The 21,867-nt window shown below is 42.1% G+C and overlaps 2 protein-coding genes across 10 annotated transcripts in view, besides 2 other annotated features; one reads left to right on the top strand and one right to left on the bottom strand.

The window, feature by feature from the left end:
* PTGR1 (prostaglandin reductase 1) overlaps positions 1–21,867 on the top strand; it is a 49,926-nt gene that overhangs the window by 9,961 nt on the left and 18,098 nt on the right. For 5 of the 8 annotated variants that reach the window (NM_001146109.2, NM_001146108.2, NM_012212.3 and 2 more), the window contains exons 5-9: positions 3,522–3,689; positions 6,098–6,215; positions 10,736–10,891; positions 14,845–14,953; positions 19,478–19,596. In NM_001146109.2, the coding sequence (NP_001139581.1) occupies positions 3,522–3,689; positions 6,098–6,215; positions 10,736–10,891; positions 14,845–14,953; positions 19,478–19,596 (670 nt within the window). Of the gene's footprint in view, positions 1–275; positions 424–3,521; positions 3,690–6,097; positions 6,216–10,735; positions 10,892–14,844; positions 14,954–19,477; positions 19,597–21,867 lie in introns of those variants that run through there. The other 3 variants (XM_011518394.3, XM_017014485.3, XM_011518395.4) reach the window with 2 other exon arrangements.
* ZNF483 (zinc finger protein 483) overlaps positions 11,551–21,867 on the bottom strand; it is a 52,958-nt gene continuing 42,641 nt past the window's right edge. For both annotated transcript variants that reach the window (XM_047422864.1, NM_001007169.6), the window contains one exon: positions 11,551–13,322. In XM_047422864.1, coding sequence (XP_047278820.1) covers positions 13,273–13,322 — 50 coding nt within the window. In that variant the 3' untranslated portion in view covers positions 11,551–13,272. The remainder of the gene's footprint in view (positions 13,323–21,867) is intronic.
* Positions 16,665–16,834: an enhancer, noted in NCBI's record as "experimental_105891 CRE fragment used in MPRA reporter constructs". NCBI's record gives its function as "activates a minimal promoter by MPRAs in K562 erythroleukemia cells, with activity observed for the non-introgressed 9:114335218 variant allele {active_cell/tissue: K562}" and the evidence as "EXISTENCE:reporter gene assay evidence [ECO:0000049][PMID:34662402]".
* Positions 18,755–18,924: an enhancer, noted in NCBI's record as "experimental_105889 CRE fragment used in MPRA reporter constructs". NCBI's record gives its function as "activates a minimal promoter by MPRAs in K562 erythroleukemia cells, with activity observed for both the introgressed and non-introgressed 9:114333128 variant alleles {active_cell/tissue: K562}" and the evidence as "EXISTENCE:reporter gene assay evidence [ECO:0000049][PMID:34662402]".

Genomic DNA, 21,867 nt, shown 5'->3' with positions numbered 1-21,867 from the left:
CAGCTTTGGATGATAGAGTGAGACTCCATCTCAAAAAAAAAAAAGTATTCATGTTTTCTGTATTTTATACTTTAATTTTTTATGACAAAAATTTTGAGTCATTTAGCTTTTATATTAGAATAATGAGTGGGGGCAGCTTCAGTGGCTCACGCCTGTAATCCTAACACTTTGGGAGGCCAAGGTGGATGGATTGCTTGAATTCAGGAGTTCAAGACCAGCCTGGGAAACATGGCAAAACCCTGTCTCTTAAAAAAACCAAACATCTCATTCTTTATTTTTTTAAATTTTGTGTCTCAATGACTAGCCAGTTATTATAATACCATTGGTAGAAATCGTCTATGGATCTTTACTGGAATTTCAGTGACCTTACAGATTTATTTAGAGGAAACTGACATCTTTACAATTTCTCTCTCCAAACACAAGGTATGCTTCTCCATTTATTCATTTTGTCTTATATCCCATTAACAGTTTTCTTCATATAGGTCTTATACGTTTCTTGCTAATAATTAAAGAAATGAACATGTATTTGTGTTTGCTGGATTGGCAAACTATTTTTGAAAATATAATAGTAATGGAGATAATACACTCATACATTGATGGTGGAAGTGGAAGTTGGCACAACCTTCTAGAAAGGAATTTGGGAATTTGGCAATATGCAGCAAGAGTTACAAATGTTTTAATACTCTTTGACCTAGTAATACCATTTATAGAAATCCTGACTAAGGCAACAGTATTGAGCCAGGTGCAGTCGCTCATTCCTATAATCCCAGCACTTCAGGAGGTCGAGGTGGGTGGATCTAGGAGTTTGAGACCACCCTGGACAACGTGGTAAACCCCGTCTCTACAAAAAAATACAAAAAAGTCTGGGCACAGTGGCTCACGCCTGTAATCTCAGTACTTTGGGAGGCTGAGGTGGGTGGATCACCTGAGGTCAGGAGTTCAAGACTAGCCTGGGCAACATGGTGAAACCTCGTCTCTACTAAAAATACAAAAATTAGCCAGGCGTGGTGGTGGGCGCCTGTAATCCTAGCTATTCAGGGGGCCAAGGGACGAGAATTGCTTGAACCTGGGAGGCGGAGGTTGCAGTGAGCTGAGATCTCGCCATTGGACTCCAGCCTGGGCAACAGATTGAAACTCTTGTCTCAAAAAAAAAAAATTGGCCAGGCACGTGGCTCACGCCTGTAATCCCAGCAATTTGGGAGGCCGAGGCGGGCAGATCACAAGGTCAGGAGATGGAGACCATCCTGGCTAACAGGTGAAACCCCATCTCTACTAAATATACAAATACATGTATATTTATATCTACTAAAAATACAAAAAATTACCCGGGTTTGGTGTGGTGGGCACCTGTAGTCCCAGCTACTCGGGAGGCTGAGGCAGGACAATGGTGTGAACCGGGGAGGCGGAGCTTGCAGTGAGCTGAGATCACGCCACTGTGCTCCAGCCTGGGCAATAGAGCGAGACTCCGTCTCAAAAAAAAAAAAAAAAAATTAGCTGGATGTGGTAGTGTGCTACTGTGGTCCCAGCTACTCGGTCCCAGCTACTCAGGAGGCCAAGGTGGGAGGATCATTTGAGCTCAGGGGAGGTTGAGGTTGCAGTGAGCCATGATCGCACCACTACACTCCAGCCTGAGCAACAGAGAGAGACTGTGTCTCAAAAAAAAAAAAAAGAAAAAATAATAATCACGTTTATGAATATTAATTAAAATATATTTCCTAGCAAGCAGACTCAGAAAAAAGGAAAAAAATAATTAACATTAGGAAAAATACTGAAAGTATCCTAATAATGGGGGTGTAATTAAATTCATTACATTGTTTGAAGGATTCTTACTAACATGGAAAAAAGTATAAATTATATAGACCAACGTAATGTTGACAGATAAATTATTGGTTATAAAACATATAACATTACTTCAATTATGTAAATATGTATAATACATCCGGGCGCGGTGTCTCACGCCTGTAATCCCAGCACTTTGGGAGGCTGAGGCAGACGGATCACGAGGTCAAGAGATCAAGACCATCCTGCCCAATATGGCAAAACCCCGTCTCTACTAAAAATACAAAAATTAGCTGGGCGTAGTGGCACGCGCCTGTATTCCCAGCTATTTGGGAGGCTGAGGCAGGAGAACTGCTTGAACCCGGGAGTCAGAGGTTGCAGTATGCCGAGATGGCACCATTGCACCCAGCCAGGCAACAGAGCGAGACTCTGTTTCAAAAAATAAATAAATAAATACATACATATAGTATACATTTTTAAATATACCATTAAGATTGACAGAAAATACACCCAAATGTTAGCAGTTGTCTTTGTGCTGTCAGATTAGAACTGATATTTTTGTTTTATATGTTTAAAATTTTCTAGAATAAATATGCATTATATAACTTTATGATCTGGGAAGGAAAGATGGTAAAGAAGGATAAAGAGTTGGATGAAGAAAAGGGAATCAGTAAATGAGACAGAAAGGGTGCAGCTTAGAGGAGGAGGCAAAAAGCCAGCAGAGATCAGTACCCTGGGAACCAATGAGGGAAGACTTTTGGGTGACCCTGTGTTAATAGAGTGGAAAAGGGTAGGCTGGGCGCAGTGGCTTACACCTGTAATCCTAGCACTTTGGGAGGCCAAGGCAGGTGGATCACCTGAGGTCAGGAGTTCGAGATCAGCCTGGCTAACATGGTGAAACCCTGTCCCTACTAAATATACAAAAATTAGTCTGGTGTTGTTGTGGTGGGCGCCTATAATCCCAGCTGCTGAGGCAGGAGAATTGCTTGAACCCAGGAAGTGAAGGTTGCAGTGAGCTGAAATCACACCACTGCACTCCAGCCTGGGCGACAAGAGCAAGACTCCATCTTAAAAAAAAAAAGTATGCATATATATATATATATAGAGAGAGAGAGAGAGAGAGAGTGGAAAAGTAAAATCAGACAATGATTAAGGAATATCCACTGGATTTTGTGCTCAGGAGGTTGTTGTGACCTTAGTGGAGTAGTAGGGGTGGAAGGCAGGTTGCAGCGGGTTAGCACATGAATGGGAAGTGAAGAAGTTTGGCTGAAAAAGGAAGACGAAGGGGCAAGGAGCTAGGGGAGGGATGGGATTATAAGATGGCAGACTTGAGCATGCTTATATTTTGAGTGAAAGGGACAGTAGAGAGGAAAATCTCAACGATTCTGGAAAGTGGAAGGCTAAGGGAAAGAGAGCGACACCTGAAGAAGAGAAGGCTAGTGTCCAGGTCACCTTGAGCCACAGGACAGAGGCCTCTTGCTTAAAAGGAAGAGATGTGGGTGAGAACAGGCGCTCCTCACCCCATGAGCCACTCCTTCCTCAAGTGGCTGGGCCAGTTGAGAGTTCTCTGGTGACCCCTATGCCGATGGCTAAGAATTAAGATGGAGAGGGGTGGTGGACTATCAGTTGTGGAATATCAACCTCAGTGCACTTTTGTCAACACTAACCACACAGCATCCTGACTCCCTTGAAAGGGAAGACATGTCACATGCCTTAATGCCTTAATGTGCTTTATCTTTCAGAGTTGTGGAAAGTAAAAATGTAGCCCTACCAAAAGGAACTATTGTACTGGCTTCTCCAGGCTGGACAACGCACTCCATTTCTGATGGGAAAGATCTGGAAAAGCTGCTGACAGAGTGGCCAGACACAATACCACTGTCTTTGGCTCTGGGGACAGTTGGCATGCCAGGGTGAGTTTCATGGATATATTCCATTTGTTTGAATGTCTGACACTCTGATTTTCCAAAATGGTTTGTTCAGAACTTGGTCAACAGGAAGATATTTGATGCATGATAGGCTCAGGGGCTGATCAGAGAAGAGGGCAGGACCAAGATGGCAGATCAACCTAAGTGTCCATCAATGGGTGAATGGATAAAGAAAACGTGGTCTATATACATAGCAGAATACTATCCAGCCTTAAAAAAGAAGAAAATCTTGTCATTTGTGACAACATTGGAGGACTTTATGTTAAGTGAAATAAGCCAGGCACAGAAAGGCAAATACCACATTATTTCACTTCAGTGTGGAATCTAACAAAGTTGAACTCATAGAATTAGAGAGTAGAATGATAGTTATCAGGGGCCGGGAGGCTGAAGGGTTGGGGAGATGTTGGTCAAAGGATACAAAATTTCAGTTAGACCCACCATGCCCGGCATGAATAAACATTTTAGTAATTAATGTTTACTAAAATTAATACCTTCTTACATTCAATTAGTGGACACTAAATAATTCCAGCACTTCTTATTCTTTCCTGCCTGCCCTGTACCCTCTATGGGTGAGAGCTCTTCCTCCTCCTTCGTTATCCTGCTCATCCTTCCCTCTGCACTGTGAGCCAGGTGTGGGGTAGGAGAGGTGAAGGTAGACATGAGGAAACTTTGGTTGTTGAGAAGGTAATTTGTAATATATTAGGAGATCCTGACTCCTGAAAGAGAAGATAATTTATTCACTTATGTATATTTCTTATTCATCTGATCCAAGCCACTAAGGAATGCATGTTAGATATTTGGATTCTTAGAAAAAAATGCTGCCTGTGCCTCTCACTGCCTTCTATTCAATGCCAGCCTCTCATGGGCCCCAAATATAGTCAGAGGCTGTGTAAGCTAAGTAATGTCAACATGTAGTTTTTTTTTTTAATGCAGAAATAACTTTACATGAATTTGTCTGAAATTCTGCAAGTGGCTTAACAATCACTATAATGGGTCTGGATTTTATTGGCTGAGATTCAGGTCTGCAAAAATATAGCTTAACATTTTCCACTACTGAACTTCATTTCTACCTCAAGCCCTCCTTTTGGCTAGTGTAATAAGAGAAAACCTCAGTTAAATTCAGTGATTTCTCACATCATTTCAAATTTAAAACTCAGGATTTCTTTTTTCTTCTCCCTGCGGTTGTTGCAAAGCTCCAAGGGATAATACAAGTTCAGTGTCAGTAGAAGGGGGACAACAACAACTTCTTGATCTTGATCTATACTGGTCTTAAGCTGGTCTCCTGCTCAAAGTTACTTCCTTTCTCTAAGTTTTGAGATCCTTTCCCCCTTTCCTTCTTCCCACCCTTCCTTCCCTTTCCTTTTTTACAACTTTGAAGGTCTTCTGAGGAATGAAATGGAAATATATATACAGTGCCAAATGGTCACCTCTAAACAAAAACAACTCCTATGTACCCCAAATTCATATTTCACTCAGAATTTGAACTCCTCAAAATTGCCACTGCCAAGGACATCATTGTGAAAGTAGAGGATGCTTAATACCTTCTTACATTCAATTAGTGGGCACTAAACAATTCCAGCACTTCTTGGTCTTTCCTGCCCGCCCTGTACCCTCTACGGATGAGAGCTCTTCCTCTCTATTCTCCTCTGTTACCTGTCATTCCCTCTGGACTGTGAGCCAGGTGTAGGGGAGAAGAGGTGAAGGGAGACACGAGGAAACTTTGGTTGTGAAGAAAGTCTTCAATCATATCACCTTCCAAACTCGCAATCCAATGAGATGCGGTGGTGTCTTCACCCAGTCCCCATCAGTACTGCCAGTGCTGCATCTTGGTAGGTCCAGTAGCTCTTTTCCTGCAAGCTAACTTTGACATCTTACTTGGGGTAATACGGGGAAGTTTCAGAAGGTCTTCCATACCACTTTGGAGCCATGGAAAGCTCCAGATGCTCCCTGTGACCCTCTCATGCCTAATATCACAGCATTGTAGCTACTCTGTGGCTATGTCGCCATGATAACATGGGGGCTTCTCCCATGAAGCTCATCATCTACATAGAACTTATATGGGAATGAGGCACAGCTCTCTCTTCTTGAATCCCCAAAGTTTGAGAAAGATATTCCATCTTTTGCCCCTGAAATTTGGCCTGTGAATGGACAGGATACAGCCCCTTTCTAGCCAACTCTCCCTTCCCTCCCTAGTTCACATCACCTTTATTCCTATCTGACAGTAGAGATGGAGGAAGTAAAGCAACAGTGGCTGGCAATATTTATTTCCATATTTTTGTCTTTTACTTGGACCCATGGCACTGGGCCACTGAGAAGGCTTTCAAGATATATATAAATGAGTTATAGAGGAAAGAAACAACTCTATTCATATATCCTTAATTTTCTTCCTTTAGCCTGACTGCCTACTTTGGCCTACTTGAAATCTGTGGTGTGAAGGGTGGAGAAACAGTGATGGTTAATGCAGCAGCTGGAGCTGTGGGCTCAGTCGTGGGGCAGATTGCAAAGCTCAAGGTAAGTGCCTTTCTCCAGTAACAAGCCTTTATTCAAAACCCATTGGGAATGCAACAGTGAACACAGCAAATCTTCCTTGGCCTCAGGGAGTTTATAGTCTAGTTGTCTTCTTTAGAAGTTGGAGATTGAGAAATTGGAGGAATGGGGAAAACTATACCAAAGATAAGCTGAACATTGTTATTTGATAACATTGCAGATAATCAAGTCAGAAATGGCCTCTGTCTAGAGTAGTGAGTTTATCGGCATTTATCATTTTCATATTTTTTACTGAACATTCTATCGCTACAGCTTAATCTTCTTTCTTCATGATTGTCCTTAGCAATAGAAGAAGGGACTTGAGATGAGCCAGCTAAGAGTCATCACCCACGTGGCCCCACTGCCAAGGCTGTTGTACTAGAAGGAAATGGGCATTCAGCCCAGAGCAGTGGGGCCATGGCTTGGGAACTAACTCCTGGGAGGTACCTAAGACAAGGAAACATTGGCTCTGATTTAAGCAGATGTCTGCTCAAGGGATCCAATCTGATGGTGGGTGTATAGAGTAGGCAACAACTCAGACACAGTATGGATTTGTTATTACATAGTGGGAAGGTGATCTGGCTCAACTGATCCTTTGCCCAAGGCTGGGATGCAGGATTCAGGACCTAGGTCCTAGGGGACAAGTTAGATGGAGTACAGATGAGTACAGGGTTACAACCAACGGCCAAGGGTTTGGACTGGTCTCCAGTGCTAATAGAAGCTTGGAATACAAATGTGAGGCTACCATAGAAGTTGTAGAATAATTTGTTTAAGTAAGTAAATAAATAGGAATAGATATTAAATTTTATCAAATGCCATTGCGGCATTTATCAGGTTCACTTTTCAGTGAATGAATTACATTAGTTTTCCAATGTCGAACCATTCTGACATTTGCAGAATAAGCTTTACGTATGTATGGTATATTATGGGCTACCTTTGGAATTGACTTGATAACATTTAAAATAGAATTTTTGCATCTATAGTCACAAGTGAGTTTGGTTTAAAGTTTACTTTTTGTTCTGGAATTTAGCTAGGCTTGGATTGTGCTAAAATTACAAAATGAATTAGGATTATTTCTAAATATTCCAATTTCAAATATCCTATTAAATCACAAGGGGCTTTTATCCCGTAAGTTTGATAGGACTTGCGCTTAAACCTATTCTTTTATATTCAACCTTTCTGTCCATTTTATGTGTGTTTCTGTAAAATGCAGCTATTTGCATTTTTCACCCATCTGAAAGTCTCAGTGTTGTAATAGTTAAATTTAAGTCATTCTTATTAATTGTCATAACTGGAATGTTTGGTCATATTTATATTATCTTACTTTGTTTTCCATTTATTGGTTATTTCTTTCTGTGATATTTTCTTTGTTCTTTTTTCTCTAATTACTGAGAACCTAAGTTTTATTTACATTCTGCTAGTGTTTACCTTTTTACCAATTATTTAAAATCTGTTTTATTTATATCCTGCTACTATTCATATACATATTTTATATTCCAGAATAAACATATACATGTATATGAACTTCAAACAGTATATTTTTTCCCCATATTCTACCCTACATCCTAGATTTTTATTCAATAATCTAATAAATAATAAAAATCTCATTATCATTAAAACTTTTTGGTTATGACATCTGAAAATGCCTTTTAATTTTGATGCATATAGAATTCAAAGGACCTGCCAGGTGCAGTGCTGTGTGCCTATAATCTCAGCTTCTCAGAATTCTGGCTGAGGCAAGAGGATCCCTTGAGCTCAGAAGTTCAAGACCAGTCTGGGCAATGTTGTGAGACCTTGTCTCTAAATTAAAAAAAAAAATTCAAAGGACCCAATCCCTTTCTCTCAGAGCTCTATAAAATTGCTCTACTTTTTCAATTTCTATTTAGGGTTGCAGATGAGACATTCAAAGCCAATCTGATTCTCTTTCCTTTGTAGGTAATTAGACTTTTCTTTGAGGTGCTTATAAGCATTTCTTGTTATTCTTTGAGTTTAGAAATATCACCAGGAAATGTCTATATCTGTCTTTGTTTAATCCTGCCTGCAACTTAGTTAGCCATTATAATCTGAAGACCAACGTTTTTCTTCAGATGAAGAACAGTTTTCTTCTTCTATTTAATTATTTTTTTCATCTATTCTGTTTTCTTCATGAGGAATGGTATATGTTCATTCTGTTTCCCTTAGGACTATTCTTGTATGCTCTCTTTGCTCTCATAATTACATCTTTTGTACTTTTTCCTCTGAATTCTGTACTTTCTTAATCTGGTCCTCCAATTGAATTACATGACTTGCAGCAGCATCAGTTTCTAGATTAGCAATTAAGTTTTTCATAGCTGAGGCTCCTCATATTCTAGGATTGCTTCCTTTCCCCATAACCTGCACTTGTTGACTAATGCAGTATCCTTTTGAATTTCACTGAGAAACTTGAAACAGTATGAACACATCTTTTAAAATATCTTCTCTTCCCTGTAGAAATTCCACTGGAGACTGCCATGCTAAGGAATTTATACTCAATCCTTAAAGAAGTAACATGATTGGTTCTGCTTTTTAGAAACATCACTTAGGCCTTGGTAGGAGAATAGTTCCTAGGGACGCTATGCTAGAAACAAGAAGTCCACTTAGGAGGCTCTTACAATAATTCAAATGAAAATTTTGATGCATCGACAAAGATTGGAAGTCAGAGTCAGCTTTTTTTTTTTTTTTTGAGATGGAGTTTCGCTCTTGTTGTCCAGGCTGGAGTGCAATGGTGCGATCTCAGCTCACCGCAACCTCTGCCTCCCAGGTTCAAGCTATTCTCCTGCCTCAGCTTCCCGAGTAGCTAGGATTACAGGCATGTGCCACCACGCCTGGCTAATTTTGTATTTTTAGTAGAGATGGGGTTTCTCCGTGTTGGTCAGGCTGGTCTCGAACTCCCGACCTCCGGTGATCCACCCACCTCAGCCCCCCAAAGTGCTGGGATTACAGGCGTGAGCCACCGCGCCTGGCCCAGAGTCGGATTTTAAGGCTGTTTGGTTAAAAAAGAGGAAGAAAACCAGATGATTGGACATGGATCATAAGACAAAGGAAAGCTTCTCCTTTGAGCCATGTTTCAGGTTTGGATAACTGAGTGGTATCATTCTCTTATAATAGTGGATAGAAAAGAAATAAGTAAGAAGCAAGGAAAAAAGTATATTCCCTTTTGAACACACTATTTATGAGGGACCTACAGGACATCCAAGTGTGAGGACATCTATAGGTTGTTGGAAATACTGATTTGGAACTCAGGAGAAAAAAAATGGGCTAACATTAATAGATAGAATTAATAGATTAATTAATAATCTGCATAAAGGAGGTCATAAGAGTGAAAGAGATCATCCTATGATAGTCTATAGTCTTAGAAGGAAAAAGGACCAAGGAGGGCTCTCTTGCAATAGTTTTTTCTGGAATCATGAAGGAATGGAAAAAGCCTGTGGCCGTCACTATTTGTACAGAGATTCATGTAAATCCAACTGGGGTTTTTCCTCGATTGAAAATGCACAGTGGCACATATTCTGGTCTTCATAATACATTTAGAGTATAAGGGAGCTTTCTGAAAAGCTAGTTTCTATGAACCACTATAATCTGTAGTGTCATCCTGAAAGTGCTTTTCAGAATGCTTCCTAGCTCCTCTGTGATTAGGAAGCGTGTAGTCTGGTGCTTTGGACTAAATCAAAGGATAAAGGGGGCCTGGTGCAGTGGCTCATGCCTGTAATCCGAGCACTTTAGAAGGCTGAGGCAGGAGGATCACTTGAGCCCAGGAGTTCAAGATCAGCCTGGGCACTTTAGGAGGCCAAGGCAGAAGGATCACTTGAGCCTAGGAGTTCGAGATCAGCCTGGGCAATATAGTGAGACCCTGTCTCTGTGAAAATTTAAAAAATATAAGGCCAGATGTAGTGGTATGCACCTGTGGTCCCAGCTACTTAGGAGGCTGAGGTGGGAGGATCACGAGCTTAAGAGGTCAAGGTTGCAGTGAGCCATGTTCGTGCTACTGCACTCCAGCCTGGGCAACAGAGTGAGACCATGTCTCAAAAAAATATAAACATTTAAAAAATCAAAAAAGGATAAGGGGGCAGTTACTAGGAGGGCTGTCTGTGATGTGGGAGTCACAGAGCTGAGACAAAATAATAGTCTGAAGAATGACTGTACCAAGAGATGGCATACACTGCATTGCAAGGAAGAGAAGCCCAGAAACAAAGAACCAAGGAAGTCAAATGGATCGGTTGTGAAACCAGCTGGTGGAACTATGAACCAAATAAATGCAGAAGGGACCTGCTGGGTGGTCAGAAGCAAGCTGAAGCTGAGTTGTAGGATGGTCCGGGGACTGATTTCACCTATGGGATCTGTTGGCCCATTATGGTATTCCTTTTATATGTGGCTCAGCACCTAAGAGAGTGTTCCTAGGGAACCTAGGCATACGAGACCAGGAAAGTAGTGTTGGTCCATGCTTGTGACTTATTCATGGTTTCCTTTTTTTTTTTTTTTCTACTTAGGGCTGCAAAGTTGTTGGAGCAGTAGGGTCTGATGAAAAGGTTGCCTACCTTCAAAAGCTTGGATTTGATGTCGTCTTTAACTACAAGACGGTAGAGTCTTTGGAAGAAACCTTGAAGAAAGCGTCTCCTGATGGTTATGATTGTTATTTTGATAATGTAAGTACAAACTGGACTTAATATCTAATTTATTATGGAAGTACTATATAAAGCAGGAGTCTCCTACCCCTGGGCCATGGATGGTTAGTGGTCCATAGCCTATCAGGAACTGGGATGCACAGCAGGAGGTGAGGGGCAGGTGAGCAAGCAAAGCTTCATCTGTATTTACAGCCCTTCCCCATTGCTCCCATTACTGCCTGAGCTCCGCCTCTTCTCAGAACAGTGGCAGCATTAGATTCCCATAGAAGTGTAAACCCTGTTGTGAACTATGCATGTGAGGGATCTAGGTTGTGCGTTCCTTATGGAGATCGCACTACTCAGGTGCCTGATGATGCCTGATGCCTAATGATCTGTCACTGTCTCCCATCACCCCCAGATGGGACCGTCTAGTTGCAGGAAAACTCACCCACTGATTCTATGGTTATGGTGAGTTGTATAATTATTTCATTGTATATTACATTGCAATAATAATAGAAATAAAGTGCACAATAAACACAATGTACTTGAATCATCCTTGAAACCATCCCCCCAACAATCGATGGAAAAATTGTCTTCCAATGAAACTGCTCCCTGGTGCCAAAAAGGTTGAGGACCGCTGATACAAGGGAATATATTCCTAGAGTTTCCATTTTGGGGTACATGAAGAAAGTATATATGCCTTTTTTAAAAAACAGCTTTATTGAGATATCATTCATGTACCATGTAATTCACTCATTTAACGTGTAGAAGTCAATGTTTTTTACTATATTGGCAAAATTGTACAACCAGTTTAAGAATATTTTCATCACCCCCCCCAAAAAACGCTACTCATTAGCAGTCACTCTCCATTACCACCCTCCTCCCCACTAAAAGTGGTCTCTTATGACTGGCATCTTTCACTTAGCAAAATGTTTTCAAGTTTCATCCATATCATAGAATTTATCAGTGCTTTATTCCTTTTTTTTGTTTTTTGAGACAGGATCTCACTCTGTCACCTAGGCTGGAGTGCAGTGGTGTGATCGTGGCTCACTGCAGCCTCGACCTCCCTCGCTCAAGCAATCCTTCCACCTCAGCCTCCCAAGTAGCTGGGACTATAGGGATGTGCCACCACACGCAACTAATTTTTATATTTTTAGTAGAGATGGGGTTTCGCCATGTTGCCCAGGCTGGTCTGGAACTCCTGGGCTCAAGCAAACCTCCCAACTCGGCCTCCCAAAGTGCTAGGATTACAGGCGTGAGCCACCACACCCAGCCTGATGGGTATTAGCTTATACTTTCTGGCTATGAAGTATAATGTTACTATGAACATTCATGCAGAGGTTTTTGTGTGGATTTTTCATTTCTTTTAAGTATATACCTATGAGTAGAATTGCTGGGTCATATGATAATTTCATGTTTAACATTTTGAGGAGCTGTCAAACTGTTTTGCAAAGTGGCTACAGTACTTTACATTCCCACAAGCAGTGTATGAGGGTTCCAACTTCTCTACATACTCACCAACACGTGCTATTGTCTGTCTTTTTTATTATAACCATCCTAGTAGGTTTGAAGTGATATTTCATTCTGATTTGAGTTTGACTTGCATTTCCCTATGGCTAACAATATTAAGGATCTTTCAACGTATGTATTTGCCATTTGTATATCTTCTTTGGAGAAATATCTGTTCAAAATCTTTGCCCATTTTTGAACTAGGTTATTTGTGAGGTTGTAAGATTTTTTTTTTTTTGAGACAGTTTTTTGCTCTGTCATCCAGGCTGGAGTGCAGTGGCGCGATCTTGGCTCACTGCAACCTCCACCTCCCGAGTTCAAGTGATTCTCCTGCCTCAGCCTCCCGAGTAGCTGGGATTACAGGCATGCACCACCATGCCCAGCTAATTTTTGTATTTTAAATAGAGACGGAGTTTCGTCATGTTGGCCAGGTTGGTCTCGAACTCCTGACCTCAGGTGATCCACCTGCCTTGGCCTCCCAAAGTGCTGGGATTATAGGCATGAGCCACCACACCTGGCCAAGAGTTCTTTACATCTTACCGATACAAGTCCCTTATTAGATTCAGTGGATTTTCATTATTCACAATATTTATGTTCTATAAGGTCACCACCAAGGCTGAAAACCATTGCTTCTAGGGGAAATATGTACATGTTTGCACATATCTCACATAGACTATAATCTGAAATCCTTAAAACAACTCATCCTAGTAGCTTTTATTTTATGAAAGACAAAAGGAGGTTCAGAAGTGTTAAGTAACTTGCCTATGGCCACTCCACTAGCTAATACCCCCAGAGTTGGGATTCATACTCCATCCAGCTCTTCCCCGAACCAGAGCCTCTTGAACTGCACTGCAGTGGCCCCATCCTCTGGTCATCTCTGTGTAACAGTTGAAACAAGAAGGCAGAGCATGGTCTTATTCAGCCTCAGAGAACATCTGCATCTTTTTTACTGCTCCATGTATGTCTGCAAGTGACCAGGGAAAGCTTAGTGAGTACTGGTTTGAGGTTACAAATAAAATTTTAGCAAGTAGTTTACAATATGCAAATATGAAATCCACTAATAATGAGGACCAACTCTATATGGCTTGCAAATATTTTTTCCTATTCAGTGAATTGCCTTTAACCTTCTTTCTGTTTTTGTTTTTGCCCTTTTTTTTTTTTGAGACTCAGTCTCACCAGTCTCACTCTGTCTCCCAATCTGGAGTGCAGTATGTGATGACAGCTCACTGCAGCCTTGACCTCCCAGGTTCAAGCCAACCTCCTGCCTCAGCCTCCCAAGTAGCTGGGACCACAGACATGCACCATCATACCCAGCTAATTTTTATGTATTTTTTTTTTGTAGAGATGGAGTCTCACTATGTTGCCCAGGCTGGCTTTCACTTTCTTGATGGTATTCTTTGAAGCATGAAAGTTTTAAATTTTGATGAAGCCCAATTAATCTATTTTTCTTTTGTTCCTTGAGCTTTTGGTGTCATGTCTAAGAAGGCTTTTCCTTTCTCAGAGTCATGAATATTTATTCCTGTGTTTTCTTCTAAGAGTTTTATAGTTTTAGCTGTTACATTCAGGTCTACGATGCATTTTAAGTTAATTTTTGTGTGTAGTATAAGGAAGAGGCCCAATTGCATTATTTTCCATGTGGAAATCCAGTTGTTCGGCACGTTTATTGAAAGGACTATTTTTCCTCTATTGAACTGCTTTAGCACTTCTGTAGAAAACCAATTGATCCTAAATGTAAGGGTTCATTTTTGGACTCGTGATTCAGTTCCATTGATCTGTATTTCTACTCTCACACTATCTTAATTAATTTAGCTTTGTATTAAGTTTTGAAATTGAAAAGTGCCAGTCTTCCAACTTTGTTCTCTATACACCTTTTGAGTATTTTTCCATACCTTTAAATTATAAGACAATGAGGTTATTGGACTGATCAGAGAACCTCAATATATAATAAAGGAAAATGTATAAGTTATAAAAGGTATGGTCTTAGAATCAAATGAAAAAGCCTGTTTATTTATTTTTCTTTTTTTCTTGAGATGGAGTCTTGCTCTCTTGCCCAGGCTGGAGTGCAGTAGTGTGATCTCAGCTCAATGCAACCTCCGCCTCCTGGGTTCAAGCAGTTCTCCTGCCTCAGCCTCCCAAGTAGCTGGGATTATGGGTGCCCACCACCATGCCCTTCTAATTTTTTGTATCTTTAGTAGAGACAGGATTTTACCATGTTGGCCAGGCTGGTCTGGAACGCCTGACCTCAGGTGATCCACCCACCTCAACCTTCCAAAGTGTTGGGATTACAGGTGTAAGCCACCGTGCCCGGCCGAAAATGCCTGTTTCTAATGTCTTTTTCTAACTGCAGTCTTCTGCACTGTTGGGCTAATTCAGTCAGTTTTGTTGCTGCTAAAACAGGTATTGTAAAATAATGCTTGTGACTTAATGATTCTCCTGAATCTCTAGTATTTAGATTATTTAACATTTTGTCTTTGCTATCTGTTTAGGTAGGTGGAGAGTTTTCAAACACTGTTATCGGCCAGATGAAGAAATTTGGAAGGATTGCCATATGTGGAGCCATCTCTACATATAACAGAACCGGCCCACTTCCCCCAGGTAATGAGCACATGCACACGATCCCATATGTCACAAGGCTGGACAAGGAGAAAATTCACAGATATGCCATAGGCCAGTGACTCTGAAATTATTAGAAAGATTTTCATATATTCTTTTTTTTTTTTTTTTAAGACAGAGTCTCACTTTGTGAGTGCTCAGGAGTTTGAGACCATCCTGGGCAACATGGCAAAATGCCGTCTCTACAAAAAATACAAAAATAAGCTGGGTGTGGTGGTGTACACCTGTAGTCCCAGCTACTCAAGAGGCTGAAGTGGGAGGATTGCTTGAGCCTGGGAGGCGAGGCTGCAGTGAGCTGTGTTCCTGCCACTGCACTCCAGCCTGGGTGACAAAGTGACAGCCTGTCTCAAAATAATAATAACAAAAACAATAACAAAAGAAATAAAAATATATATAATTTCACATATTTTGTGCTAAATCAGCTTATATTAGATTTTTATGTAGAGAAACAGCAAGATCTACAAATATAAAAGAAACAGTTATTAAAAGTTTTAGTTTTTACCTATCATTTAATGCAAAACTGTAAAAAGACAGTGATGATTTGATTTAGAAACAGAACACCTTGGTCTGGCTGGTAAAATATTCAGGTTCCTCTGGATATTAGAGACATTGCTGGAGGTGCGAGAGGAATAAAGTGTGACTTGCTGTGGGTGAAGGGAAGAGCAGACTGCCATGCCCTTCAGAAATCTTGGGCAGTGCTTCTTGGAGCAGTAGGGCGTCTTGGCCTCAGCAGGCTGACAATTGCCACTAAAAGGGAAGGGAGCAGCAGCTTCCCTCCATTCCTTGATTGTCCTTGTTTTATTTCTCTGGTGCCCTGCCATGCGCTCCATTCCCCACTCCCTACTCTCTTATGCTGAAACCACATCCCTCCCGCTCCACACTCTGAGGTCCAAAAGCAGTATCAACCAGAGAACCATATTCATTAAATCCCAGTCCTGTGAGATGCCTTGTACAGGCCTCTCATTTTATGGGTGTGGAGAGGAATGGCCAAGAGGACCAGAGACTCTTTAACTCCTATTGGCAACAGACTCAAAACAAAGACCAGTCTTCTAAGCTCCTCATACAGAGTCTGTTTCTGCTACAGTGATTCTGTGCTATTAAGAGAGATCACAAATTACCTATGGTCCCCCCCCAAAAAAGGAGAAAGTACGAGAAAGTAGGAAAAAAAGGAATCTTCCAGACTCTAATCAGGATCCAGGCAACCATAAATCAATGGTTATTTATTCTATGATGAGCTTGACTAATGGGAATGAAACCTTATAGCCCCACTGGTTAACCACCACACAACTGTATGGAGATGGGGGGGCTAGAAAGGAAGGGGCTGACAAAGGGCAACTTGTAGATTCCCTCTCAGGTTGTGAAAAATCAAAATCATTACCAAGAAGGAAACTCCAGATTTACTTGGCAATCTTATTGTTAGGGACTTTTTTTTCCCCCTATAATTTTCTAACTGGTGCTAAGCTGGAATCATGGGAAATTGTCTGCCTGCCAACTGAGCAAAGCTGCAGGAGGCCTTTTCTTAACCACAGTCCGATTAGGAATAGCCAAATATTTTGGATACAGTAACTCGATCTAGTCTTTTTAGCAATTAGTCTTTGGAAGCTCAGCTGCTCAGACAGGACTTTGAGATGTCAGCTGGCCTTGTCCGTTCCATTTTAATCAGATGGAATTCTGCCCTGCCACAGAGCCCCAGAAATTCTAACATATTCCACTGTTAGGATAGCTCAGAGGCAAGCAATGATTTCCTCCAGGTTTAATGCTACATATGCTTTTTTGCTCTCAGTAAAAAAACAAAAACCAACATTCTCATCAACACGCACAAATCCAGAAACAGCATTTCACTTTCATTTTGCTTTTTTGTTTATTGGTTTGTTTGTTTTGAGACAAGGTCTTGCTCTGTTTCCCAGACTGGAGATTTTTTTTTTAATTTTTTAATTTTTTTTTTTTTTTTTTTTTTTTGAGACAGGGTCTCGCTTTGTTGCCCAGGCTGGAGTGCAGTGGCGCAATCATGGCTCACTGCAGCCTCCACCTTCTGGGCTCAAGTGATCCTCCCACCTCAGCCTCCCGAGTAGCTGAGACTACAGACATGTGCCACCATACCTGGCTATTGTTTTTTGTTTTGTTTTGAGACAGAGTCTCACTCTGTCGCCCAGGCTGGAGTGCAATGGCACGATCTCGGCTCACTGCAACCTCTGCCTCCCCGGTTCAAGCGATTCTCCTGCCTTAGCCTCCTGAGTAGCTGGGATTACAGGCACAAATCGTCACGCCTGACTAATTTTTTTTATTTTTAGTAGAGACAGGGTTTCACTGTGTTAGGATGGTCTTGATTTCCTGACCTCGTGATCTGCTCCCTTCAGTCTTCCAAAGTGCTGGGATTACAGGCATGAGCCACCATGCCCATCCCACTTTCATTTAAGATGAGGAAATGAGAGTTCCAATCCCTAACTCACAAAGAATAGTTGATGTGGGTCTTCTGAAGAAGCACTCTTTCTGTCTCATTCTCTTGCATTAGTTTCTTTTGGTTCAGGACAAAGCTTCATATTTCCAACTGCTAATGTTACTTTCCTCAAAGTAATCAGTGGGAACTTTAGGCTGAGTGGTGCCAGTGGTCAAAGATGCTGAAGCTAGATTCCACCACTCGTCTTAGCACACCAGGCATCTTCGCCTGACTTCCTGGAACTTGAAAGCCTATGCTGAGGTGTCATTCTGTCAGTTTCTAGTCAATTAGGACACTTGGGAAAATCAACCAGGCAACCAAAAAACTTTTTCTTCCTTACACGCAGAAGGGTAGTATCTTCTTTACAGGCTGCAGGAGAGCTGTGTGCTTTTTCTGGGGTGCTGGTTTTCAAAGTGTGGGCCAAGGACCAGCAGCATCACCATCTCCTGGGAGCTTGTTAGAAATACAAATTCTTAGCCAGGCGCAGTGGCTTATGCCTGTAATCCCAATATTTTGGGAGGCTGAGGCAGGAGGATCGCTTGGCCCAGGAGTTTCAAACCAGAGCAATAGAGTAAGACCTCATCTCTGACAGAAAAAACAAACAAACAAACAAACAAACAAAAACTAAAAAAAATTAGCCAGGTGTGGTGGCATGCACCTATAGTCCCAGCTACTTGCAGGGCGGAGGTGGGAAGATCACTTGAGCCAAGAGGTCAAGGCTGCATTGAGCAGTGATGGCACCACTTTACTCCAGCCTGGGGAAACAGAGCCAGACCCTGTCTCAAATTAAAAACGACAACCACAAAACACACAGACACAAAAACACCCACATGTTTATTCTTTTGTTTGTTTACTTCTTTTTTTCTTTTTGAAACCGAGTCTCGCTCTGTCACCCAGGCTGGAGTGGAGTGGTGCAATCTCAGCTCACTGCAGTCCCCTTCCGACTTCAAGCGATTCTCCTGCCTCAGCCTCCTGAGTAGCTGGGATTACAGGCATGTGCCACCATGCCCAGCTAATTTTTGTATTTTTAGTAGAGACAGGGTTTCACCATGTTGGCCAGGCTGCTCTCAAACTCCTGACTTCAAGTGATCTGCCTGCCTCGGCCTCCCAAAATGCTGGATTATAGGCATGAGCCACGCACCCGACCCCACACACTTATTCTTGTAGGTCTAGAGGTTAAAAGTAAAATGGGTTGGCAGGGCTGCATTCCTTCTGAAGATGCTAGAGGAGAATCTGCTTCCTTGCCTTTTCAAGCTTCTAGCAGCTGCCTGTATTTCTTGGCATGTGGCCCCTTCCTCTGTCCTCAAAGCCAGGGGCATAGGCTCTTCCTCCTCCTCCTCTCTCTCATCTCTGCTTCTATCACCCCATATTCTGTCCCTGACTGTAACTTTCCTGTATCCCTCATTCCCTTACGAAGACCTTTGCTGTTATATTGGGTCCATCTTTATAGTGGAGAATAATATTCCCATCTCAAGGTTCTTTTTTTCTTTTTATTTTTTTGAGGCAGAGTCTCATTCTGTCACCCAGACTGGAGTGCGGTGGCACGATCTTGGCTCACTGCAACCTCCACCTGTCGGGTTCAAGCAATTCTCCTGCCTCAGCCTCCCAAGTAGCTGGGACTATAGGCACCCGCCACCATGCCCAGCTAATTTTTTTTTTTTTTTAATTTTTAGAAGAGACGGGGGTTTCACTATGTTGGCCAGGCTGGTCTCGAACTCCTGACCTTGTGATCTGCCCGCCTTGGCCTCCCAAAATGCTGGGATTACAGGTGTGAGCCACCGCGCCACCCCCAAACTTCTTAATCATATCTGCAAAGTCCTTTTTGCCATGTAAGGAACAGGTTCTGGGGTTTTTGGATATGAACATGTTTGGGGCCATTATTCTGCCTGGCTGCAGAGTGCATGTTGATTGGCCAGCAGTCCCGTGGATCAGAAAGGAGTGAGGAAATGGAAGGGGAGAAGCACCAAAAAACTCCCAGCACCAAGCACAGTGACAGTGACCTGTACTGCTTGTTTCACCATGGGCACCTCCCTGGATCCTGCCACCCAAATGTGCCCTTCTCTTCACAGGCCCACCCCCAGAGATTGTTATCTATCAGGAGCTTCGCATGGAAGCTTTTGTCGTCTACCGCTGGCAAGGAGATGCCCGCCAAAAAGCTCTGAAGGACTTGCTGAAATGGGTCTTAGAGGTAAGGAGCTCCGGAGCCACCCCTTCCAATTGTACACTAGGTCACACTCCCTTTGCCTCTCAAGGCTTTTGTTCTACCAATTCTTCCCCATCTCTGCCGCATCGTCAGTTTTTCCCTATTGGGTCATTGTGCTTAGAGTATAAATATTCTTACTTTTCCCATCTTTGAAAGGAAAACAAAACAACCCTCTCTAAAGTTCATTTCCACTGCAAATGCAGGTCCATTTCCCTTCTCTCCCTTTTATAACAAAATACCTGGAAGTGCTGTCTACACTCACTGTCTGCCATTCCTCTCTTTCCATTCTTCCTTAAACCCACATATGAGGCTTTTCAGAGTCTCACTCTGTTGCTCAGGCTGGAGTGCAGTGGCACAATCTCAGCTCACGGCAACCTCCGCCTCCTGGGTTCCAGCAATTCTCATGCCTCAGCCTCCCGAGTAGCTAGGACTACAGGTGTGTACCACCACGCCCAGCTAACTTTTTGTATTTTTAGTAGAGACAGGTTTTCGTCATGTTGGCCAGGCTGGTCTCAAGTGATGCGCCCGCCTCAGTCTCCCAAAGTGCTGGGGTTACAGTTGTGAGCCACCGCACCTGGCCAAAATTAACTTTTGTCAAGGTCACAGGGGACCCTTACATAGTGAAATCCACTGGTTGATTCTTAGCCTCACTTGGCTATGGGAAATATTTCATAGTGATCATTCTCTCCTTGATATGCTTTCTTCCCTTGGCTTCCCTTAACTCTTGGTTTTCCTCACTGATTGGTCCTCCTCAGACTCTTGCTAGCTTTTCTTTACTCCAAATTAATATTAGAGTGCCCCAGGTCATGGTCACTGGGACTTTGCTCTTCTCTATCTACGCTTGAGCTATCCCTTAGTTAGCTCGTCTGGGCTCAGTATGCTGGGAGTTCCCATCTCTATCTCCAGCCTGGCTCTCCTCTTAACTCTAGGCTAGTATGTCCACCTGGATGCCTGATACACATCTCTGACATAACATCTTGAAAACTAAATATATTTTGATCTTTCCTGCTCAACATGCTCCATATTCAGACTTTACTATCTCAGTTATAACAATTCTATACTTCTAGTTTCTCAATCCAAAAGCCTTGGTCATCTTTGATGTCTTTCTGTCGTACCCATGTCTAATCTCTAAGGAGATTCTGGTGGTTCTATCTTCAAAATATATACAGAATCTGAACACTTCTCCCACCTCCCTGCTACCACCCTGGTCCAGGCACCATGCCTTCTAGCCTGGATGCTTGTAGTGTATCGGGGGAACCTGCCCCCAATATTTCAACATAGGTTCTTTCTATTTTTCATAAGTGTTGGCTGGCTGAGAAATAAAGAGAAAGAGTACAAAGAGAGGAATTTTACAGCTGGGCTGCTGGGGGCGACACCACATATCAGTAGGACCGTGATACCCACCTGAGCCACAAAACCAGCAAGTTTTTATTAAGGATTTTAAAAGGGGAGGGGGTGTACGAACAGGGAGTAGGTCACAAAGATCACATGCTTCAAAGGGCAAAAGGCAGAACAAAGATCACATGCTTCTGAGGAAACAGGACAAGGGCAAAATCAGAATTACTGATAAGGGTCTATGTTCACTGTGCACATATTGTCTTGATAAACATCTTCAACAACAGAAAACAGGGTTCGAAAGCAGAGAACCAGTCTGACCACAAATTTACCAGGGCGGAGTTTTTCCCCCACCCTAATAAGCCTGAGGGTACTGCAGGAGATCAGGGCGTATTTCAGTGCTTATCTCAAATGCATAAGACAGACACTCCCAGAGCAGCCATTTATAGACCTCCCCCAGGAATGCATTCCTTCCCCAGGATATTAATTATTAATATTCCTTGCTAGGAAAAGAATTTAGCAATATCTTCCCTACTTGCACATCCATTTATAGGCTCTCTGCAACAAGAAAAATATGGCTGTGTTTTTCCCAACCCCGCAGGCAGTTAGACCTTATGGTTGTCTTCCCTTGTTCCCTGAAAATCGCTGTTATTCTGTTCTTTTTCAAGATGCACTGATTTCATATTGTTCAAATACATGTTTTACAATCAATTTGTACAGTTAACACAATTATCACAGTGGTCCTGAGGTGACATACATCCTCAGCTTACAAAGATAACAGGATTAAGAGATTAAAGTAAGACAGGCGTAAGAAATTATAAAAGTATTAATTTGGGAACTGATAAATGTCCATATTAAAATGAAATCTTCACAATTTATGTTCCTCTGCCATGGCTCCAGCCAGTCCCTCCGTTTGGGGTC

The sequence above is a fragment of the Homo sapiens genome, chromosome 9, assembly GCF_000001405.40.
Source record: "Homo sapiens chromosome 9, GRCh38.p14 Primary Assembly".
In the NCBI taxonomy this organism is placed as follows: Eukaryota; Metazoa; Chordata; class Mammalia; order Primates; family Hominidae; genus Homo; species Homo sapiens.
Note: the sequence above shows the minus strand (reverse complement) of the source record. Positions and strands in the feature narration are given on the sequence as shown.